The 23632-nt window shown below is 45.6% G+C and overlaps 1 protein-coding gene across 5 annotated transcripts in view; it reads right to left on the bottom strand.

The window, feature by feature from the left end:
- GLP2R (glucagon like peptide 2 receptor) overlaps positions 1–23632 on the bottom strand; it is a 66176-nt gene that overhangs the window by 40451 nt on the left and 2093 nt on the right. Inside the window, exons 2-5 of one of the 5 annotated variants that reach the window (XM_011524077.4) lie at positions 17755–17842; positions 15174–15278; positions 13799–13873; positions 9033–9154 (exon numbers count right to left, since the gene is read on the bottom strand). The exons of 1 other annotated variant lie outside the window; for it this stretch is intronic. In XM_011524077.4, the coding sequence (XP_011522379.1) occupies positions 9033–9154; positions 13799–13873; positions 15174–15278; positions 17755–17842 (390 nt within the window). Of the gene's footprint in view, positions 1–9032; positions 9173–13798; positions 13874–15173; positions 15279–17754; positions 17843–23632 lie in introns of all 5 variants that reach the window. 3 more of the 5 variants (XM_017025339.2, NM_004246.3, XM_017025340.2) reach the window with 3 other exon arrangements.

Genomic DNA, 23632 nt, shown 5'->3' with positions numbered 1-23632 from the left:
CGGTGTAGACTTTGAGCTCTTCCAGATCAATCCCAACCACGTTTCTCTCTAGAATTATTCTCTATGGACTTCATCTAGATCCCTACAATCTTGTCAGTCTCCAACTGTGCTTGTTTGCCTCTCCTTGAAACTAAGTCTTTCCCTCTAAGACCAGCACAAACCTACCCCCTATAAGAAATCCTCCTCAAATGTCTCTCTGCTTATTGTCAACTCTTATTGTCAAAGTACTTGTGGTTTGTTTCACAAATAGGGTGTCAATTGTATTATTCAATAATGCTTTGCTTTCATTCATCTTGTCTTTCCAGATAGACTATGAAACACCTTGAAAGTAAAGAAGTGTTTTGTGCTTCTGCACACAGAGTGGTGTAGTTTCTTTAAATTGACTATTTCTGTGGCATATCAAGACATTACTGGGTCGAATAGCATGATTTATTTTATTGGAGATATGAGGCTAACACATTTAATTAAATAACCTAACTATTTGTTTCTAAATTATGATTTTTAAAACACGTGTGTGTTTTGTGCTTTCTAGGAACAAATTAGGGGACATGTCTTTTTTTTGTCTGTGTCCTAATTAGTTTGGGTTTCCAAGAAGCAGATCCTGAGACAAGAATTGGAATGCAGGCAGCTTGCATAGAAAGTGAAAAAAAAATCAGCTGGGCATGGTGCTTCACAAGCCTGTAATCCCAGCACTTTGGGAGGCCCAGGCAGGAGGATCACCTGAGTTCAGGAGTTCGAGACCAACCTGGCCAACATGGCAAACCCCATCTCTACTAAAAATACAAAAATTAGCTGGGCATGGTGGTGTGCGCCTGTATTCCCAGCTACTCAGGAGGCTGAGGCAGGAGAATCACTGGAACCCTGGAGGTGGAGGTTGCAGTGAGCCAATATTGCACCATTGCACTCCAGCCTGGGTGAGAGAGAGAGAGATCCCGGCTCAAAAAAAAAAAAAAAAAGTGAAAAAATCATCGGTAGGGTAAGGGAGCACTTAGCACAAATAAAGCATGGGTTATCAAGCCAGCTACCATGGTGGGAAGCTGGAGCTTAATCCCACTGGGGAAGCTCTGGAATCCTCAGAGTCAACTAACCCCAAGACCAAGGGAGTTGGTATAGAAACATACCAAATCTTGCCAGTCATCGATTGAAGGTGACTTCCAAGGCACATTAATTTCATGGCACTTATGGCCTGCATTTCAACGAACAAGTGGGCTTCAGGAACCAGAGAACCAGCAAAGAAATGCATGCACTTGTGGTAAGAAGTTAAGCAGCTGTGTACTGAATTGATTAGGGCAAAGGGATACGGGCAGGGCGCCAAGAGCACCTGCTACAGTTGGTTTAATTGTACTTTTTTACAGGATTTTGTTCAACTGTCCTCTACATTAAGGTCTCTAACAAAACCTGGCTACTTTCCTAGAGGCTCCAAAACATCAGGTCTCCAGCTCACGCTTAGTACCAACAGGTGAATCTTATGTCACTTAGACACCTTTATGAGAAGCTTCCTAACCAATATGTGATACGCACCCAACGAGGAAACAGGTACTCTCATACATAGTTGAAGGGAGGACAAATGTATAACCCCGATGGCAATGTCTAACAAAATTATATATGCACCTGCCTTTAATCCAGTGATCCCACTTCTAGAAATCTTCCAAAAGATATACTGCCACAAATATAAGCCAACATAAACATCTGAGATTATTCACTGTGGCAGTTTTAGGAATAAAATATTGGAAATAGGCTGGGCGCAGTGGCTCATGCCTGTAATCCCAGCACTTTGGGAGGCCGAGGTGGGTGGATCACGAGGTCAGGAGATCAAGACCATCCTGGCTAATATGGTGAAACACTGTCTCTACTAAAAATACAAAAAAATTAGCCGAGCGTGGTGGCGGGCGCCTGTAGTCCCAGCTACTCGGGAGGCTGAGGCAGGAGAATGGCGTGAACCCAGGAGGCGGAGCTGGCAGTGAGCCGAGATCACGCCACTGCACTCCAGCCTGGGCGACAGAGCAAGACTCTGTCTCAAAAAAAAAAAAAAAAAAAAAAAGAAAGAGAAAAAGATTGGAAATAACCCAGATGGTCATAGGACAGTGGCTGAACAAACTGGTGGATATGCTAAGTGAAATACTATCCAGCTGTAAGAAAGAGAGAGAAATATTTCTAGGGCAGAAAAGCTATAAAAGTTTGGGAAAACAATTGGAAAAAATATTAAATATGGATGAAATAGGCCATGTGATAAAAATCACTGTTAATTTTACTTGGTTGAAATAATGGTAATGTAGTTGTGTAGAATGATGTCCTTAATCTTAGGAGGTACCCGATGAATTTAGGGGTGAAATCTCATGATGTCTACAAATTAGTTTTGAATATTTCAGAAAGAAACAGAGAGAAAGCAAATGTGGCAAAATGTTATTACATTTTGAATCTAAATACTGGGTATATGAGTGTCTACTATATTATTCTTTTAATTTTTCTATATGTTTCAATATTTCAAAATAAAATGTTGGAAAAATCATATATAATCAATGGATATATTATAAATTATATTAAAATTTTAAACGTATTATTAAAATTATATGCCATATATTAAAATTATATACAGATATATGAATTCATATGTATGTATTAATTAAATTATGTATTTAAGAATAGACGCACTTTTTAAAGGACAAAGTAAGGCATAGTAATTTATTTTCATTCCATTAAACGCAATTCCATACTAAGTCATCTAAACACACTTGTTAATGCTTATGTGAGCGCACACACACACACACACACACACACACAATCTCCTTTAAAAGTGCCATTTAACATGCATAAGGACCCCCAGCATCTCGTTAGTTGGAAGAACATAACATATTTTGTTTGCCAAAACTCTGAAGGGCAAAGATTTACTAACACTGGCCTTTTTTGGGCAAAATTTCAACCCTCTATTAGAAACACAGGTAAACATGGCCAGAAGTTGTTTTTTTTGTTAAGTATTTGAATTCTTGGAAATATGGCCATTTGCAGAGGGGAGGAGGCAATGCTCTTGTCCTCACTTTTCCGAAGAGAGAAATCTTTACTTCCTGTTTTTGAAAGCGCAGTTTTCAAATCTTGCTTAGCGCTCCCCATTTGCTGACTTGGGGATGGTGCTACTGTGTCCGCACACTTGTGGTTCTCAACCTTGGCTGCATATTAGAATCATCTGGGGAACTTTGGAACTAGTATTGATGGCTGGACCCCCCTACAGACCAATTGGCTCAGAATTTGTGAAGCCATTCATGTAGTATTTATTAAGTGCCTACTGTATGCAAAGGCCACTGTGCACCTCAGTACTAGGTCAGAGGTTTGGGGGTGATAGTCAAATATAACTGTGACTTTGTTGTTGTTCTCAAACAGTTTGAAGCCCAGGAGAAAAAAAATACACAGTTTGCCTAATTCAAGGCATGCCATTAGCACAACTTTGATGTGAAAAAAGTCAGACAAATTCTTGAGATAAACCGGATCTAATCCAACTACAGGTGTCCTTCTGATCCCTTTAAGAGGTGTGATATCTCACACAGTAAAACTGTATAAGGATCACAGGATTCTGTTAACTCAAATCCAGTAGGAAAGTAAGAGGTTTAGACAGAATTCCCTGAGGATGTGGAGTATCCAGTTGAAGGTTCTTCACGTCTGATGGAAGATTAGACATGGAATCTTGCTATGTTGAGCAGGCTGGTCTCAAACTCCTGGCCTCAAGCAGCCCTCCCGCCTCAGCCTCCCAAAGCACTGGGATCATACTTATGAGCCACTGCGCCTTGATGGAAGATTAGGATACACTTAAGGGAGCCAAGGACATGCCAACACCCACGAGGCTCTGAAGGAACAGAGCCCGAACCAGATGGCTCCTGTTAGACCAAATAGCTAGTTTATGAAACGTGTAGAACCTGAATACGATCAGCCTTCTCTAATGGACATGAACCTGGGGCTCAACTTGTTGGCAAGAGTGAAAAAAGTCACCCTGGTAGACCCAGTGGTACGGTCATCCTGGCTTGTGAGAACTGATTGGCAAATTTTCAGGGAACCAGTTGCAAAACATGAGCATTCTTAAAAATTAAACGATGGCCGGGCGCGGTGGCTCACACCTGTAATCCCAGCACTTTGGGAGGCTGAGGCGGACAGATCACGAGGTCAGGCATTCGAGACCAGCCTGGCCAACATGGTGAAACCCCGTCTCCACTAAAAATACAAAACATTGCCGGGTGTGGCAGCGTGCCCCTGTAGTCCCAGCTACTCTGGAGGCTGAGGCAGAAGAATCGCTTGAAACCGGAAGGCGGAGGTTGCAGTGAGCCGAGATCGTGCCACTGCATTCCAGCTTGGGCAACAAGAGCGAAACTCCGTTTCAAAAAAAAAGAAAAAAAAATTAAATGATGTAAATTTACAATGAATAAATTATATTCAGAATAAAAGCAATAAATACTCCAAATTCATCACTTCCTAATTACATTTCTACATGTCTGTGTTCAGTGCCACTGGGGTTATTTTTGCTGTTGTATCTGCATGAGGAGAAACATGTCTAACGCTGCGCTACTGTGCATCCTCTGCGGTCACACTGGTAGCTTGAAATTGGCCATGGGGGGCATTAATGCCACCAAAATTGGCAAGTGTTAACAAATCCTAGCCTTTCTTTCTTCAGGAGTGGAAGCAGGGAGCCTGTTGTTAACATTTACTAACACACCTACACCACTGGTATTGACAACCAGAACAAACAAATCTTGGTCTACAGGCAACCATGTCTCCTGAGATGGAAACCCCTACTTTCTTGGACCAGTTTGTCTCCTTAGTGTGAAAGTGTTTGTTTTGTGTCTTAATCTTGGCAAGGTTTGATCGCACCACTACATTGATTAATGTTTTGTGTTAAATTCAGGTATAGAATTTTTTTATTTGTCCTCAATATTTATTATGAAAATTTCAAACATACACCAAAGTTAAAGAAACTTTATAAAGAACATCTGTATATCCACCACTTAGATTCTAACATTAAACTGTTTTTTGTTTGTTCGTTGTTTTTTGAGACAGAGTCTCACTCTGTCACCAAAGCTGGAGTGCAGTGGCACAATCGTAGCTCATTACAGTCTCAACCTCCTGGGGCTTAAGTGATCCTCCCACATCAGCCTCCCAAGTAGCTGGGACTACAGGTGCACACCACCATGCCCAGCTAATTTTTGTATTGATTTTTTAGAGATGGGGTTTCGCCGTGTTGCCCAGGCTGATCTCAAACTCCTGGGCTCCAGCAACCCTCCCACTTCAGCTTCCCAAAGCGCTGGGATTACAGGCCTGAGCTACTGCAGCTGGCCTCTAACAAACATTAAACTTTATGTGGTATCGCCCCATATCTACCCCTTGGTCTATCCCTCATATAGCAGTTTTTTAAATTACTTGCACAATCTGTATGCAATTGGTATTATTTAGAGAATATGACATATTAGAGGACCTAATAGGTTAGTATTAAGCTTCCAATATGAAATACATCAAAGCGTACTTGATTTTCAACTTTAAGTTGAAACCGTGATGAAAACAGTATTGACATATTTAGGAAAATTTAAGACTCAACATATAAAGTTGATGTATTCGATGAACTAGAATTATTTTAAAATAAGAAAGATTTTCTTATTATAACAATTATTTAACATAGTTTAAATGTCTAAAGCATATCAAATGTAATAGCGCAGCTTAAAATGTAAAAGGATATGTAAATAACTTGTTTGTGTCAACAAAAATTAATCAGAGACCTCTACGAAAGTAGACTAACTTACTAGATTTATAAATAGAATAAAAAACTATATGAAATAGCATTGACCTTAATAACTTAACAAAAAGCTAGGTTTTTGGCTTTTGAAAGTCAAATGAAATATTACACACACACACACACACACACACACGCACACACACACATAAATCCAACCAAATAGCCAATGCAGAAAAGCTACCATCACAGACACCAAAAAACTCACAATGACAAGTGAACTATGATCACAGCCCTAGGACTGAACCAGAGAGGCCAGGGAGGGAGAGAAGTGTTTGTAGGGTCCAGGGAAGATAGTCTGAAAAGAAAAGAAACGCAATAATCACAACTATCAAATGCCTATTGTGTGCCAGGAGGTGGATGAATCACTCCACATTCATTGCCCTCTGAAGCCTCACAACTAAGCCTGCAAAGCGGGTATTTTCAACCCCATCTTACGATGCCTGCAGAGAGGCTAGGTGGCTCCCGTGACAAGAATAGTGTTTCTAAAACTGAACTCCTTGCCTTCCCCTGTCCCCAGACTTTATTGTATAGAATATCTTTAACATTTAATGGGATAATATTTAAATGACTTTAGAGAGCTAAAGAATTCCAACTAAATCATGAAATAAAGCCACAATTCAGCCTGGGCAATATGGTGAAACCCTGTCTCTACAAAAAATACCAGATGTGGTGGTGTGCACCTGTAGTCCCAGCTACTCAGGAGGCTGAGGTGGGAGGATCACTTGAGCCTGGAAGGTGGAGGCTGTGGTGGGCCATGATCGCGTCACTGCACTCCACCCTGGGGAACAGAGACAGACTCTATCTCAAAAAAAAAAAAAGCCACAACTTGGGAGTGGCGGAGAGTGGGGGTGTTTTGCAGGTTCAAATTAGGGCACAGAATTAGGTAGAAAGGACCAGGCACGGTGGCCCATGCCTGTAATCCCAGCACTTTGGGAGGCCAAGGCGGGTGGATCACCTGAGGTCAGGAGTTCGAGACCAGCCTGGACAACATGGTGAAACCCCGTCTCTACTAAAGATATAAAAATTAGACGGGCGTGGTGGCACGCACCTGTAGTCCCAGGTACTTGGGAGGCTGAGGCAGGAGAATTGCTTGAACCCGGGAGGCAGAGGTTGCAGTGAGCCAAGATCATGCCATTGCACTCCAGCCTAGGTGACAGAGCGAGACTCTGCCTCACAAAAAAAAAAAAAAAAAAAAAAAAAAAAAAAAAAAAAAGAATTAGGTAGTAAAATATTGAGAATCCAAAGGGCAAGGCCTCTCCCTGTATCCTTCTCAGGGAGGGGCATTTTTAAGTCTCCTCAAGGGTCCAAGCCAGAAGCCTGCGATCTTGTTGTCCTTGGCTCTACCCTCTCACAGCCTCCAGCACCAGCCAGGTCCTACCGTTTTGCTCCTCGGTAAACCTATGAGTCCACCCTCCCTCTTCTTCCACCCCTGGGCGCTCTCTTCCTATCCGGCCTGAGTTGCTGCCACGGTTCCTGCCTGTTGTCCCTGCCTTCTGCCTCCAGCATGGCCCCAGTCTCCGATCTCCATAACTAACTCATGTGTTGACAAGTTCACTCCTCTCCAATCTGCCAGGACAAATCTGTCAACACATAAGTTAGTTATGTCCCTCTCCTACTTCAATATACAAAGTCCTAAGTCCTTCACCGGGCACAGGAGGCCTTCACCACCTACCTCTCCCGAGGCCTCTACCTCCACCTGTGTCCTCCTCAGGCCCTACCTCACCTGCCCAGCAGCACTCAAGGTGGCCCCAGAGCCCCGTGAGCTCTTTGACCCTAGGTGTGTTTCTCCCTTTTGCTCTCTCTCTTACTATGGCCATCTCCTTCTCACCCTGCAGGGCTAGGCTTGAGCAGCCTTCCTGGTCCCCTGTCTGCATCAGTTTCCCCATCCTCCATGACCCTGGGCATCTGACACTTCCCTCCCAGCAACGATCACACTGTCCCTATGCCTCACAAGATCACAAGACTCTGAGCTCCCTGGAGGCAGTATCCACGTGCTATCCCCTGTTTATTCCCAGTGCCTGGTGCAAAAACCTAACCCATCGTATATGCTTCATTACTGTTTGTGGCCTGACCATCGGAATGAAAGAAACCAAGGTGTGGCCGTAGATATCTGTCTGATCCCCAAACACCTGTTCCTCCGCTTTGTGCAGCCTCTTGCATTGCACTTTGAAGGAAAGTGAGCAGATGTTGGACAAACAGGAGGTCCTCAGGGAGAAGAGCAAGAGTCCAACGAGAAAGTATGGTGCAGAAGGATTCTGGAAAGAACACATGTGGAGAGAAGTCTGAAGCATGGATTTGTTTGTTCATCCAAAAAACCTTTCCTGGGAAGCCATGGGGACTTGCGGACCAGTTACTGTGGTAGACCCTGGGGATAGGGCAGGAGTGCCTGCATAGACCATGCTGACCGTGTACCAGGTTTTCTCCTAAGAAACTGATGTCTGATGACTAAATCCTCACAACGTCACATGTAGCAAATATGATCCCTGTGGCATGAATGAGGAAGCAGAGGCCCAAGAAGATGAGGTAACTTGCACCAGGTTCACAGCCGGGAAGAGCAGAGTCTGGATATGAATACACAGACTGTTCCTCTGAGCATGCCACAGAGCTGTGGAAAATCCCAAGGATAAGGGACGTTTCGTTTCCCCTTTTGGGGGCTTATTAACATTCTTACTATTTGGAATGGAAATAGGGCTGCCTGACCCTAGACCCTGTGCTATGCCACTCCCTCGAGGCACACAAGTCCCCTGTCACCAGTGGATCTACATTCTGATGAGAGGGCTAGATAACAAATAAGCAACAGTGAGAATTTCAGGGAGGGGCAGGTGCCATAAAGGAGTCGAAGTGGGGGGTGGTGGGTGGTGGGTCGGGGGGATGTGGCAACCATAGAGGGCACTCTCTGGATTAGGTGACCCTGGAAGATCTCTCTTTGAAGGAGATATTTGGACTGAACCCTGGATGGTGAGAAGGAGCCAGCCACAGGGGAGCTGGGACAGGTGCTCCAGGCACGGGGAACAGCAAGCACAAATGCCAGGATCAATCCTGGAAGACTGACTTCTCTTAGGATTTTGCATGTCAGCCTAGTAGTGGAAGAAATTCCATGGCCGCCACAAGGGTTGCTGCTTTGCGGGACCTTCCTTAGCTTCCCCGGGGAGAGGCGCTGGAGAAGCCTCTTTGTGTGGCCCCTGGAGCCAGCAGGCCACTGGGGTGTCCCGAAGGAGGGTGGTTTGGACCCTGGATGCCTCCTCACTGAGCTGAGCAAACTCACGTTTTGCTTGAAGCTGTGGTTCTCGGAGCATTCGGAGTCATCCTGCCAAATATCCGTGGCGTTCTCTATCGTCTGCCAAGTCCCCTGAGCCAAGCAGTGTCTGTAGGCCCTTCCTGAGCTCTCTGAAAGTAAACAAAGCTCTGGAGGAAAGGTCAGAACACACAGCCCGTTCCCCTGAGCATGCCACAGAGCTGTGGAAAATCCCAGGGAGAAGGGATTTTCATTTCCCCTTTTGGGGGCTCATTAACATCCTCACTGTTTATTTGGGATGGAAAGGAAAACATGGAAGCTTCTCAATTTTGTAACACACCATGGTCTGCTAATGTCTGCTGTGTTTACCCAAAGTCTCTGGAGTTAGAACAGCCTCTGGTGACTCAGTGATGTTATAAGCCCTCCAAGGTTCAGCCCAGCTGGGAGATGCCAATCTGGGCTCCTGATGCTTGCTAGGTGGGGCATCTCTTCCTGAGGCTCATGCCATGCAGAAGAGAAAGTGGTGGGCACGTGGCTGACAGACTGGGGCTGAAGCCGGATGCGCCATCCATGCATGAGTGTGTCCTGGGCCTAGCTCTCCTAACCTCTAAGCCTTCCTCTGTTTTCATCAGGAACTGGGGATAATAATTGGTACCAACTCTCCATGATTTGGGAAAGGATTAAATGAAAGTGTATGTGAAAATGATGAGAAAAATCCCTCTGCGCATACAGACTGCCATTGTGACTCAGTCACATCTATCCCAGGAGACTCTCCCAGAAGGTCCTCCACCTGGAGGATTAGAGGCTGAGCTTGCAAACGAGAAGTCGAAATCTGTTGGTCCTTCCTAGTCCTGGCCCTGCATATCATGGGCCAACAGTAACTATATGCTGAATTCAATGAATGGACAACCAAAGGGTATAGCCCCCTACTCCCCTGACAGCTTTGCTAGGTAGGGTGTCTAATTGACATCTCAAACAACACACTCCAAACCACACCCTTTTTCTTCTTTTCAAAATCTGCTCCACCCACCTATTTTACCACCTCAGTGGATGGCAAACCCGTCCTTCCAATCCCCCGGCCCTAAACTTCAGAGTCACCCTCCCCTTCTGTCTCTCATAGCCTTCCTCAGGTCCTCTAGCTAATCTGTCATCCCTGCCTTCATCTGTACCCAGAATCTGACTGCCACTTTCACCTCCTGCTTCCATCCTGTGGAACCATCACCTCCCACCGGGAGATGGGACTCCTCTGACAGTCCTGCCCCTCACATCTGTGGGCAACCCAGCAGTCAGAGCAAGCTGAATAAAATATCAGCCACACAGGCCAGGCGTGGTGGCTCACGCCTGTAACCCCAGCACTTTGGGAGGTCGAGGTGGGTGGATCACCTGAGGTCAGGAGTTCGAGACCAGCCTGGCCAACATGGTGAAACCCTGTCTCTACTAAAAATACAAAAAAAAAAAAAAAATTAGCTAGGCATGGTAGCGAGCTCCTGTAGTCCCAGCTACTAGGGAGGCTGAGGCAGGAGAATTGCTTGAACCTGGGAGGCAGAGGTTGCAGTGAGCTGAGATCACGCCATTGCATTCTAGCCTGGGTGACAGAGGGAGACTCTGTCTCAAAAAAAAAAAAAAAATTAGCCACACCATGTCATGCTTCTCTCCAAATCTTCCAAGGGCTTTCTGAGAAAAAGTCTTCTGGCCTTTCACGAAGCCCCCTAAGATCTGGCCCGTAACTCTCTGTTGTAACCTGTTGCTTCTCTCCCCTCTTCACCACAGCCACATCTGCCTACTTCTCTTCATGGAACAGGCCAGGCATGGTCCCCGCATAGAGCGCCATTGACCTGCTGTCTCCTTCCCTCCTGAACACCCTCCCTCTAAAACCTTTACCTTTTCTACATCTTCACCAAAATGTCACCTTGCCATCGAAGACTTCCTTAACTACCCAGTTTACAGGTGCAACACATCACCCCACTCCAACCATCCCATCCCTTCCCTTCCCCATCTTGTTTAACATAGATCACATTCAAACATAGTCTGCACTTATTTATGATGCTTATTGATAATTGTCTGTCTCTCCTGCAAGAATGTAAGCCCCACGAGGAGAGAGATCTTACTCGGTTTTTGTCACTAATATATCCCAAGCACTTAAAAATAATGCATGGCATACAACAGGTGCTTCATAAATATTAGTTGAATGAGTGAATGGTAAGAATGTCACTTGACACTTGCATTGTCTGTACTAGCCATAATGCTTTGTGCTGGGAATGCAAAGATACAAATAGGGCTCAGCTCTGGCTGGGGGAGTGCAAAGAAAAATCGCCGTAAACGATTATAAATGCTAAGACAGAAGACTGCACAGGTATAGAAGAGGCCTCAGAGGCCGGGTGCGGTGGCTCACGCCTGTAATCCCAGCATTTTGGGAGGCCAAGGCGGGAGGTTCACGAGGTCAGAAGTTCGAGACCAGCCTGGCCAACATAGTGAAACCCTGTCTCTATTAAAAATACACAAATTAGCTTGGTATGGTGATGTGTGCCTGTAATCCCAGCTACTTGGGAGGCTGAGGCAGGAGAATTGTTTGAGCCCAGGAGGCAGAGGTTGCAGTGAGCCAAGATCGGCACACTCCAGCCTGGGCAACAGAGCAAGACTCTGTCTCCAAAAAAAAAAAAAAAGAGGCTTCAGAAAGGCAGAGGGGAGAGGTCTGTAGTTGAGGGGAGAGGTCTGAGAAATCTTCTAGAAGGAGGAAAGGATTGAGCTGAGAATTACAAGGGGCTTTATAGGCAGAGGAGCATGGCCAGAGCCTGTGAGGAGGCCTCCTGGGCAGGTGTGCGAGCCAAGGTACTGAGTGGCAAGAGCTGGACCAGGTGCAGAGCCTGGGAGTTGCTCATTGGGCTGGAGTGCAGGGAACCCTGAACGTGGGGGAGAGTGCTAACGAGGTCAGCAGGGCCAGGCAGCAGGAGGTCTTGCATGCCATTTGTAGGAGTCGTGATGCTGGGGAGACAGAATGTGAATGATATTTTAGAAAGCTTTTCCAAAGGTGCCTGGAGGGGGCCAGATCTGAGGCAGGGACTGGAGAGGAGGCCATGGAGAAGCAGCAGAGGGTGCTGGTGAGCCCACAGCAGTGAGGGATGGAGGGGAGGAGGAGATGGAAGACCTGGCTACCCACTGGTTGAGATGTGGGCTTGGGTGGGGCCAGGTGGACCCTGAGACCATTCCTTAGATGGGGAAGAGAGGCGGAGAAGGAGGAGGAGGAGAAGGAAGAGGAGTTTGTTTTCCTCTCCTCCATTTTCTACTCCTCCCTGTCCCTCAGTTTCTACTCCAATTGATGACAAGTCTTGAGCATTCTGCCTCCAACACTTTAATCTTTCTCCTTCTCTCTGCCCTCTTGCCCTTGCCAGAATCCAGACCCTTAGCATGCTGTTTTCTGGGACACTGCAGTAGTTTCCCCACTCTCCTCCTTGGTTCCTCCATTCCTGTGTCCAATAGCTGCATGCTCTCAATGTCATTCTCCCAGACTACAACTTGTGCTCCATTTTTATGCCTTAACACCTTCTGGGACTCCACATAATCTTCCTCTACAGAAGAAAGCTTGAAACCCTAGTGACTAACACCCAGCTTCCTTCGTCATCAGCCCCCAGCCTCAGTCGTCAGTTACAGCTTCTGTTTGCCATCAGGCGCTCAGTGGTGCAATGTGGGCTCACTGCAGGCTCCGCCTCCCGGGTTCACGCCATTCTCCTGCCTCAGCCTCCGGAGTAGCTGGGACTACAGGCGCCAGGCGCTCCCTCTTCTGATATTACCAAGCTCCTTCCTCTCTCCCATCTCACAGGGACTCTCCTCCACTCTGTGCATTTGCACATGTTCTCCTCTGCGCCCTTCCACGGTCTCCACATTCTCTTCACTGCAGGGATCCATTTGGATTCTAAAGATTTAATGCACAGAATGGCGGGTGGAAGAGTAACTTCCCACCTCTTGCAAATCACACTCCCTTCACATTCCAGAAGCCCAAAACCTATTTTTTTTTTAAAGAGGCTTTAATTTAACTTCTTTGTAAATGTGGCTTTTTGAACACTTCATTTTCTCTTACAGTGGAATGGATCTGTGTTTTTAGCTCTTGGAAAGGGACAGGTAGACAGTGAGCAGAGAGGGACAGGTAGACAGTGAGCAGAGAAGTAGGGATCGGCTCCACATGCTACTGAGAAGTCCAGGTGTTTGGGGCCTCTAGACTTGAAGGAATCCAAGGGGCTCCTCCCTGGATTCAGCTTCAGCTCCCGCGGACCAAGCGGCAGCTGTGCGACGCACCCTGTGAGTGCCTTCTCATTGACTCCTCGGAGTGACCTTCAGAATTAGCAACTCTCCTTCCCTTCATAGATGAGGAAGTGGAAGCTCAGGGGGCTGTGGGAATTTGCCCAAAGTCTCCAAAGTGTAAAACAGAGGGACTGGGTCTGACCTCGGGGCTCCTGACTCCACACCCAGTGCTCTTTTCCCTCACTGAGCTGCTCCCAGGGGTACTGTGCCTGAGTCATTCAGAGTCCTCCGATCCAGCGAGTTATCTCTTCCACCCTCCCTAAAATCTCACATTCTCATGCTTCTTGGGATGATTCCAACTGGATTTCATCAGAGAACACTTCCATAAAATAGGTCACTAACTCTCCCACCCAGAAATGTATCTTCCTTCTAAACACTCTCTCTCTCTCTGCTCTAGAGGCGCAAAACATTGAAACTAAAGTTGCACAATGGGATGATTTATCGGGCTGAAATTAAATACAAAAGGCTATCATCTTACCCTCTCAGAAGCTGGTTCTCACCTTGTTTTGCCTGGAGCTTGTAACCACTTATCTTTCCTGAGAACAGTTTTAGTTGTCCTTGTATTTGCTGGTGGTCTGTGGTAAAAGGCAACAGGAATCTAACCAGTAATCACCTCTCTCCTCTTTCAGAATAAAATAACCAAGAGGTTGGGCTTCTGGGGCTGGTAGGGATGGGATATTATCCTGGGTATCTAAGTAATGTTTACTTCCTTGAAACAGCATCAGAGCAAGCTAAGTGGTTAAATTCTCCATCCAAGTCCCATGGGAGTTAAAAACACTAACCTATTGGCACCTCCTTTCAATGTGAATGCAAAGGGTTCTTTGAAAATCCTTCTTCCCCATCTAACAACCCAAAAATTGTGTGGAGGTTAGCATCCCAATCTTTCTCCCCCACCTGTTTCTCCTCTCCATGACAGTGGCCATTCTTACCCCCACTGCAGCCAAATTTAGTGGCTGCTGGATCTGTACTCTAGAAGCTTCAAAGTACGAGAGCTACTTATTTGTAAGATCTAAAAATCAAAACAATTGAACTCATGGACATAGAGAGTAGAAGGATGGTTGCCAGAGGCTGGGAAGGGTAGTGGGCGGCTGGGACAGTGGAGGTGGGGAGGGATGATGGGTACAAAAAATAGAAAGAATGAATAAGAGCTACTCTTTGATAGCACAACTGGTGATGATAGTCAATAATAACTTAATCGGCCAGGCGCAGTGCTCACGCCTGTAATCCCAGCACTTTGGGAGGCGGAGGCGGGTGGATCACCTGAGGTCAGGAGACTGAGACCATCCTGGCTAACACAGTGAAATCCCGTCTCTACTAAAAATACAAAAAAATTAGCCGAGTGTGGTGGGGGTGGGTGCCTGTAGTCACAGCTACTCGGGAGGCTGAGGCAGGAGAATCGCTTGAACCTGGGAGGCGGAGGTTGCAGTGAGCTGAGATCGCGCCACCACACTCCAGCCTGGGCGACAGAGCGAGATTCCATCTCAAAAAATAGATATATAATAGTAATAATAATAATAATAATAATAACTTGATCGTCCATTTTGAAATAACTAAGGAGTGTAATTGGATTGTTTGTAACTGAAAAGATAAATGCTTGAGGGGATGGATACCCCATTCTCCATGCTTATTCACATTGCATGCCTGTATCAAAACATCTCATGTACCCCACAAATATATACACCTACTATGTAACCACAAAGATAAATAAAAATAAATATATACATACATACATAAAAATAAATGGAACATCCAGGAATAGAAAAATTACAGAAGGAAGATGTATTACTGAGAGCTTAGACGGGGACTGTTTGTGGGGGAAGAGGACTTCAGAAAAGCACTTGGTTGGGGAAAATTGGTAAAAATAAGACTTATTACCTTCACTCCACCAAGGTAAGTATGAAGGGCAGGGTACAGAGACATTTCCAGGAGAAGAATGAGGCCAACACACGTACTGATCAAATGTCCCGTTACAAAATATGCCTACAGAGAGAAGAAGGGTCTGATAAACATCAGTGTTTTAGCACAGGGATGCCACTGATGGAGGCAGAGGCACCGTGGGAGCCCACCTTCCTGGCACTGGAAGCTGGTGTAACCTGTGCAGAAACCAGCATGGGTGCCCCACTCTCTAGATGAGTCAAGGATGGGGAATGATTTGGGGACCACAGGAATGCTGAATGCAGTCCCAAAGAATGTGCATTCGTCTGCCCAACTTGACCTCCGGTCAATTACGTCAATGTACACATCATGCTGATTTTGCTTTATTTGACATGAACTAAACTTTCTTTCTTTCTTTTTTTTTTTTTTTTTTTTTGGAGATGGAGTCTCACTGTATTGCCCAGGCTGGAGTACAATGGCGTGATCTCAGCTCACTGCAACCTCCACGTCCCAGGCTCAAGCGACTCTCCTGCCTCAGCCTCCCGAGTAGCTAGGACTACAGGCATGTGCCACCATGCCCAGCTAATTTTTGTATTTTTAGTAGAGACAGTTTCACTATGTTGGCCAGGCTGGTCTCGAACTCCTGACTTCAAGTTAGCTGCCCACCTCGGCTTCCCAAAGTGCTGGGATTATAGGCATGAGACACCATGCCCAGCCACCGACATGAACTAAACTTTCACAGAAACTTGGGGACAGGAGGACTCTTGGAGGCTGAGCCAGTGCCTTATGTTCCACAATCAGCTAAATAATCATCAAACCTTCACCAATTAGATCCCAGGGCACACTTACTCTGTGAATGTACAAAACGACCAGCGGAATACGGAGGATCAAGATCAAGGTCCTTGGTCACACATAACCAACACAAGTACTATATAGTCATATCTCTCCATTTGCCATATCTCTCCATTTGAGCACTAATTCAATGATCATTATTAGATACTTGGACCATCTCAGGGGATGATTTACCCTGGTGTTTGGCAATGGGAAGCAACAACCTTAAAACTCCACCTTATGGGCCTCCTGGAATCAAATGGAAGTATTTCAGACTAGGTCCCAAACTTCTAATATTACAGGCTCCTGACTCCTGGAAGCCAAGCATCATTCCCCACCATCTGCTCCCTATTAGGCTAAAATGGCCAGGATTCTGGATCACGAGGTCAGGGGATCGAGACCATCCTGGCCAACATGGTGAAACCCCGTCTCTGCTAAAAATACAAAAATTAGCTGGGAGTGGTGGCGGGCGCCTGTAATCCCAGCTACTCAGGAGGCTGAGGCAGGAGAATCTCTTGAACCAGGGAGTTGGAGGTTGTAGTGAGCTGAGATCGCGCCACTGCACTCCAGCTTGGCAACAGAGTGAGACTCTGTCTCAAAAAAAAAAAAAAAAAAAAAAGGCCAGGTTTCTGGCATTGAAATCTTAGAAACACCATGGTGCTAGGTTATGAGCTGGCTTGGGACACCATGTCGACCTGGCTGCCAGGTGTCAGCACCTGGTCTGGGTAAGGCAGTGCTCACCTGAGCTGTGCATGGCATGGCTCTGGATGAAAGCCTGCCTTACCTTGACCTCAGAAAGCAGTGTTCTCCAAAGCGAGAGGTGGTTCCTGCAGCTGATCTCAAGGCTTGACTACCACCTGCCTGGGCCCATGAGGTCTTCAAAGGGAGCTGGGAAGGGCTTGAAGCCTGGGACTGCCTTTGGGTGAAGAAAGACAGGGAGAGTTCACAGTGTCCTGTCAATCTCAAGGCCTCTGAATAAAATGATCTGAAAGCAGCCGGAGCCGGGGATTGTCCTCAGTAGGCTCAGAGGCAACGGGCCAAGGTACTTTCTTCTTTTTTTCTTTTGGAGGTGGGCATGGTGCACGTGGCTGCACCCGAAGAGTCAGCCTGCAGACAACAATTACATATTCGCTAGAATGTTCTGAACTTAGTGTATGCTTGGATAAGAGAAATGTTACTATTCAGATTTAGTTAATGCCCTGGGAGATGGGAGACCCGCGCCCCCCACCCCCATTCCTTTAACAGATTCCCAGGCTAATCTACAGCAGATAATCATGTCATATGATCAGGTGATGAGTGTGCCATGGCAGATGGCTTTTATCAAAGACGGCCACATCCACATACATGTGGTTTCATATGTTTCCTTACAGTGGGGCATGGGGTCTGTGTTTCTGTACTGTTAGCCTGAGTAGAGCTTTGTAGCTGTCTGACCAGTTGAACATGGCCAAAGTGATCTTGTATGACTTCCAAGGCCAAGTCATAAAAGGCAGTCTGGCCTCTGGTCAGGCAGGCCCTTAGAGACCCCACCATCATGCTGTATGGAAGCCCCGGCCAAGTGTAGAGGCCATGGGAGTCTTCCAGCTAAACTCTAGACATTACAGAGCGGAAACAAGCCATCCCCAGTGTGCCCTGTCTGAATTCCTCACCCACAGAAACTATGAGAAGTAATAAGTGACTAGTTATTGTTTTGAGCCGCTAAGCTTTGGGGCAATTTGTTACACAGCCACGGATAACTAATACACATGCTTACCAGAAGGTTCCTTGAGTAAGTCTCTCAGACATGCCTGTTTGTACTGAGCCCACTTCCGAGTCGTTTCCTCAAGGAGGGATCCTGTAACCTGAGCAAACAAAAACATGGTCACCCCCAGTGACCAAGCACAGATGTGGCCTTGTTGTCACTTCACACCATGATTCTCCAACCTTCCCACTGAAGTGCCCACAATGGCCCACAGCAAAGAAATGGCATTTCTTCAGCATCTTATGTTCTATCTTAAGAGTACATACAAATTTTACATTCACTCCATAACCTAATCATATTGGCTTTAATACAAATATGAAAAAAAATTAAAAACCTTTAAGTGAAGTTGACATTTCAAGAGTACGCAAAATTCTTATCCTAAACTTTTGCATCCTCCCACATGAATAGTTGCATGCTTCTAAGACTACGTAGATCCCAAAGAGAGACGCATCACACTAAGACGCAACAATGTGACAGAAGGACCAGAGGATTGCAGAAGCCTGCATTGCCCAGGTATCTGCAGGTCCAAAGTCAAAGGCTCAAAGGCTCTGAGTAGACAGATTCTCTGCTCTGGAGGTGACCATGATTTTTTCTGCTCAGGTTATAGGATCTTTTCTTTCTTTCTTTCTTTCTTTTTTTTTTTTAAGACAGAGTCTTAATCTGTTACCAGGCTGGAGTGCAATGGTGCGATCTCAACTCACTGCAACCTCTGCCTCCTGGGTTCAAGCGATTCTCCTGCCTCAGCCTCCCCGAGTAGCTGGGACTACAGGTGCGCACCACCGTGCTCAGCTAATTTTTTTGTATTTTTAGTAGCGATGGGTTTTCACCATGTTGGGCAGGATGGTCTTGATCTCCTGACCTCGTGATCTGCCCACCTCAGCTTCCCAAAGTGCTGGGATTACAGGTGTGAGCCACCGCGCCTGGCCCGGATCTATTCTTGAGAAGTCAATTCGGAAGTGGGTTCAGTACAAAGAGAAGTGTCTGAGAGACTTCATCAAGCTACTGAGGAGTTGGGAGTTTTTTCCTTTCTAACGTTGACTATTTCATGCCACTGAACCTTGGAAATATAGCACGTTTTGGGCTTTCCAGATAACTGGGCTGTGTAACAGCTTCTAGTTGTGTACCTGTACCACTTCTTTTGATTTTATTTTTATTTTATTTATTTACTTTTTTGAGACAAGTTCTCCTCACTCTGTTGCCCAGGCTAGAGTGTGATGGGACAATCTCCGCTCACTGCAACCCCTGCCTCCTAGGCTCAAGTGATCCTCGCACCTCAGCATCCTGAGTAGCTGGGACTACAGGCACATGCCCCCATGCTCGGCTAAGTTTTTTTGTTGTTGTTGTTTAGATGGAGTCTCCCTCTGTCACCCAGGCTGGAGTGCAGTGGCGTTATCTCAGCTCACTGCAACCTCCGCCTCCTGGGTTCAAGCGATTCTCCTGCCTCACCTCCTGAGTAGGTGAAATTACAGGCGTGGCTGGCTAATTTTTGTATTTTTAGTAGAGACAGGGTTTCACCACGTTGATCAGCTTGGTCTCGAACTCCTGACCTTGTGATCCGCCCTCCTCAGCCTCCCAAAGTGCTAGGATTACAGGCATGAACCACTGCACTGGGCCCTCATTTTTGTATTTTTTGTAGAGACAGGATTTCGCTACATTTCCCAGGCTGGTCTCAAATTCCTGGGCTCAAATGATCCTCCTGCCTTGGCCTCTCAAAGTGCTAGGATTACAGGCATGAGCCACTATACCTGGGCTTCTTTTGATTTTAAAAAGGGCTTTCTCTTCTATTGTTCATCAGGCACCTATTGTGGGCCAGGCCTTGTGTTAAGGAGGAATTAAAGAGGATACAGAGATGAGCGAGACACAGCCCCTACCCTAAAAAGGACTTAGAATCTGTTCTAGAGACGGCAGCTATATAACTGGCTGGCATGCAAGGCCAAGGGCATTCTGGTCTGTCGTCTTTGGCATCCCTACGATGCCAAGTGTGGCTCAGTTCTCTCCATTAGAAACCTGAAACCAGGAGTCGTCCACAGCAGCTCCCTTCCCCTTGTCCAGGTTCCATCGACCCCACCTCCTTAACGTCTCTCCTGTCCAACCCTGTCTTCCTTTCCTCCTCTGGCCTGGTGCCACCATCCACCCTCCACACTGCTCCACAGTGACAGGAGAACAGGCCAGAGCTGAGCACAGGGCTCTCCTGCCTACAGTCTTCCACTTAAGGCCTGTGGTCTCAGGATTTAGCATCTCAGCCATCCTTGTCCCAAGTCGTGCTCCTTCATGACTTCTCATCCTTGCACTTCCCATTGGCACTCGCTTCTGCCCTCATTTTCACCTGGTGAACTCCTAGTCATCCTTCAAGGCCCAACTCAAGCCTAGAGACCCTTGGCCACACTTAACCACTCATCTCCCTGAGTCTTGAGCTTGTCACCCTTCCCCTGCATGACCGATCCCTATGGCCCATCACACTGCAATGTCATTGGTGGGCCACTTATCCATCTTCCTCCCTATCCCATAAGCTCCTTGAGGACTGAGAGGTGTCTTTCATCTCTGAATACAAGCCCCCAGCACAGGGCTGGAGTTAATGCTCTTGCTGTCCTTCATTTCCAGAGGCTCACTTGTGAGACGGAGGATGAGGAAGGGTTCAGTAAATGATCTGGGCTAATATCACCCAGTTAATCATTTGGCTTTAAGGTTTTCTCTCTTCTCACAAGGGGCAACAAGCTCAAATGTTTTCTAGGGCCAGGTAGATTTAAGGTTATCCCAAAAGAATGAGGTAGGACTGGTATACCAGTAGGGAGTGCAGCAACAATCACACAGCCGACTTTTTGAAGAAGAGCTAGTGTGGTCATCACTAGACCAGCAGTTCCCAAACTTATTGACTCAGTAATTTTTCCACAGCACTTCTAGGCCAAAAGATATATCTAAAGCCCCACTTATTAAGTAAGTAAGTCCAAACAACTTAATAAATATTTATGCCTTAACAGCTTAGTGCCTGCTGTCCATTGCACAACTTCTCAAGCTTTAGGATCAGATCGGATGCCACCACCTTTATTTCCTGTTCCACACTGATTTTTGTGCTATACTTGCTTTGTAATCACAGGACCTGTGGAAAACCCAGCTTTGCAAAGAGACAACATCATCAAAAGGGAGGGGGTGAGATCTAATGTTAACACCATGAATACCTTAAGCTAGTAGTTTGCATGGTGTCTGGAAAATGCTACATATCACTGTACTTCCCTTGAAAAATTAAAATATCTCATAGCACCCCTGTGAGTTCACAGTGGTGCCCTGGGGTATACAAGCACACAGTTTGAGAATCATGCAATTATCCAATAAGTAATAATAATGATACAATAATTGGCATTTATCCCTTGATTTCAGTTTCCTATGAGTTTGGAATCTCTATTAATATCTCTCTCTGAGTTACGGCCCAAGAGGAAGCATGTAAGTTATTAACATATTGTTTAAAGAAGTAAACATCTTTAATGGCACCATAACTGACTCTAAATCATTTTTACAAATTCAGCAGATGAGTTGCTAACCAAATAATAAGCTTCTAGAATCCTCCAAGTCATCAGTGTAAGATCCATTGGTGGACAAAGTACTATTTATGACCCCAGGGACCTCTCCGGGACCTGATTAAGGAAGAGACAATAAAATCAGCCTCTGGAGTAATGTTCCCCTATCCTCCATTCTTTGCCATGGCCAATGGCCATAGTCAAAAGCAGAAAAACAAACTAAAACTAAAAAGTACTGAATTTTGTCAGTCTAGGAGAGCTGGACAAACTCAGACTGTCTTCCCTTGCCCTAAAGACATAAAAAACACAAGGGGTACATCCAAGTTCAATCACAGCCAGATTCCCAAAGTCATGAGGAAAGAAGATATACGGGTGAATTTTTTTCCAACTGGAAAAGTCCAGCTTGACCTTGATTCCTTTTCCCTTGCATAGGCAACCAGCATCAGCAACGAACTTGGCCGAGAAGGGATTAAGGAAAAGGAAAGAAAAATCCTTATACTGACTCTCTTTAAATAAATCTGTTTTTCTTTGTTAGAGAAGGAATACACTTCACTGTAGATGAAATAGAAATCACAGCTATGCAAAAAGGGGAGAAGGTGAAATTATCATCTCATTACTCAGAAATTACCATCTACTTCCAGATTCTTCTCTCTGTGAATGAAAGACACATTCATTGTCTTTCTTTTCTTTTTTATTGTGACTTCAAAGGGAATAATCTTGTTTCAAAGCCTTTTATGTTTCATTAGAAGACCAATATTGTGAATATATTTCCATTTCAAGAAATAAATAATAAATGAAGTAAAGCATCCTTTTAACAGCTACATAACATTCTATGAAAAAAAGTGATATAATTTAGTTTTTAAATCCTCTAGCGTTGAATGCCTATGTTGTTTTAAGATGTTTGCTGACGTAAATGATGCTGTGATTAAAATCCTCATAGTTGAACATTTGAGAGCACATCTTTATTTCTTAGAAATTCTTTGAATTTGAATTTCTGGGTCACAGAATGCACATAGTTTTAAAGGTTTTTGACTGCCAAACTGTCTACCCTCACCAAAAAAAAAAAAAAATTAAAAATTTTAAATATGCACCATTTTACCCTCCTGCCATCCATGTATAAAAGGGCCGCAATGTACTTCTCAAAAATCCTTAGATAGTTTATGTTTTTGATGCCAAAGCAACTGCTAAATAACTTAAACGAGTGTGGGAGAGAGTGGTGTGGGGATAACACTACCTCCCTGCTTGAATTTAGAAACTAAACTATCCCTGAGAATTTCTCATTAAGTGAAATTTTTGAAGACTTCCTGCCAGAACACACACCACAGTCATTTATATTCCATGCAGGGAAAGAGGCTATGAGCAGAATTTATCATGAAAGTCTTCACAAAGCCTTGTAATATAAACATCTAGAAAAGGAATATGGGGTTAAGATGGAGAACCAAGAGTAAGGCCATCAGAATTACAGACACACCCGGAGGACAGACAGCCAGAAATGCTCTGAAAACGCAGACTGGGTGGCAGAGAGTGGAAGCAGACACTGCCAGCAGACATGTTATTGATTATAAAAATACCAGACTGAAAGGGTCAAGGTGTGGCTTTCTCAGCCTGGTAAGCCGGCCCGAGGCTCTGCAGATTCCGCTGTTGTAACATAAATATTCATACATCAGCAACTCCCAAGAGCACTCCGGAAGAAAAAACACAGGGCTTCAAACACCCCGGGTAGGCACAACGGCTACAGTGCTCAGGAGCTACAGCATCGAACGCAACCATTTAACTCCTCTGAAGCTTAATTTGCCCATCTGTAAAAGGGGCTCAGTAATAACACTCTTCTCAGAGGCTTGTGTTGAGGATTAAGTAAGATGATGTGTGAGGAAGCATTTTATGATAATATCCTGAGCGCTGTCTCAGGGCTTGGCATGTGGTCAGCAATCCACATTTGTGAACAAAACTACATGATAAGCTGGATACACTCACTCAGTGTTGATATGAGATATCCAGAGAATGGAAGCAAGGATGAATGTTCTGAACCAACCCTCCCACCAAATGGTCCCACCACTAACACATTGAAGTCCTGGGACCAGAGGCAGGCCAGGGCCACCTTCCTGAAGGATGTTCTGGTCACTGGGGGAGAGGCTGCCAAGATGGCAAGAATTCCATGAAACCATTGATTGGGCTCACATTTACAATCCATGAGGGCCTGAAGGCAGCCTCTAGGGGAACCTGGATGTAGGAAATCTGGCAGGGGTTATCTGCCTGTCTAGCCCCAGGCTTGCAACAAAGAAAGCCTGAGGTGAACCCTCATGAGACCTGGTACCACAGCCTGCCCTACATGGGGATTGGAGGGGTTTAGAATTCCAAGACCATGAACAGGGACTCAC

This window comes from Homo sapiens, chromosome 17 (assembly GCF_000001405.40).
Source record: "Homo sapiens chromosome 17, GRCh38.p14 Primary Assembly".
NCBI classification, from domain to species: Eukaryota; Metazoa; Chordata; class Mammalia; order Primates; family Hominidae; genus Homo; species Homo sapiens.
The sequence above is the reverse complement of the archived record's forward strand: the minus strand, read 5'-3'. Positions and strand labels throughout refer to the sequence as shown.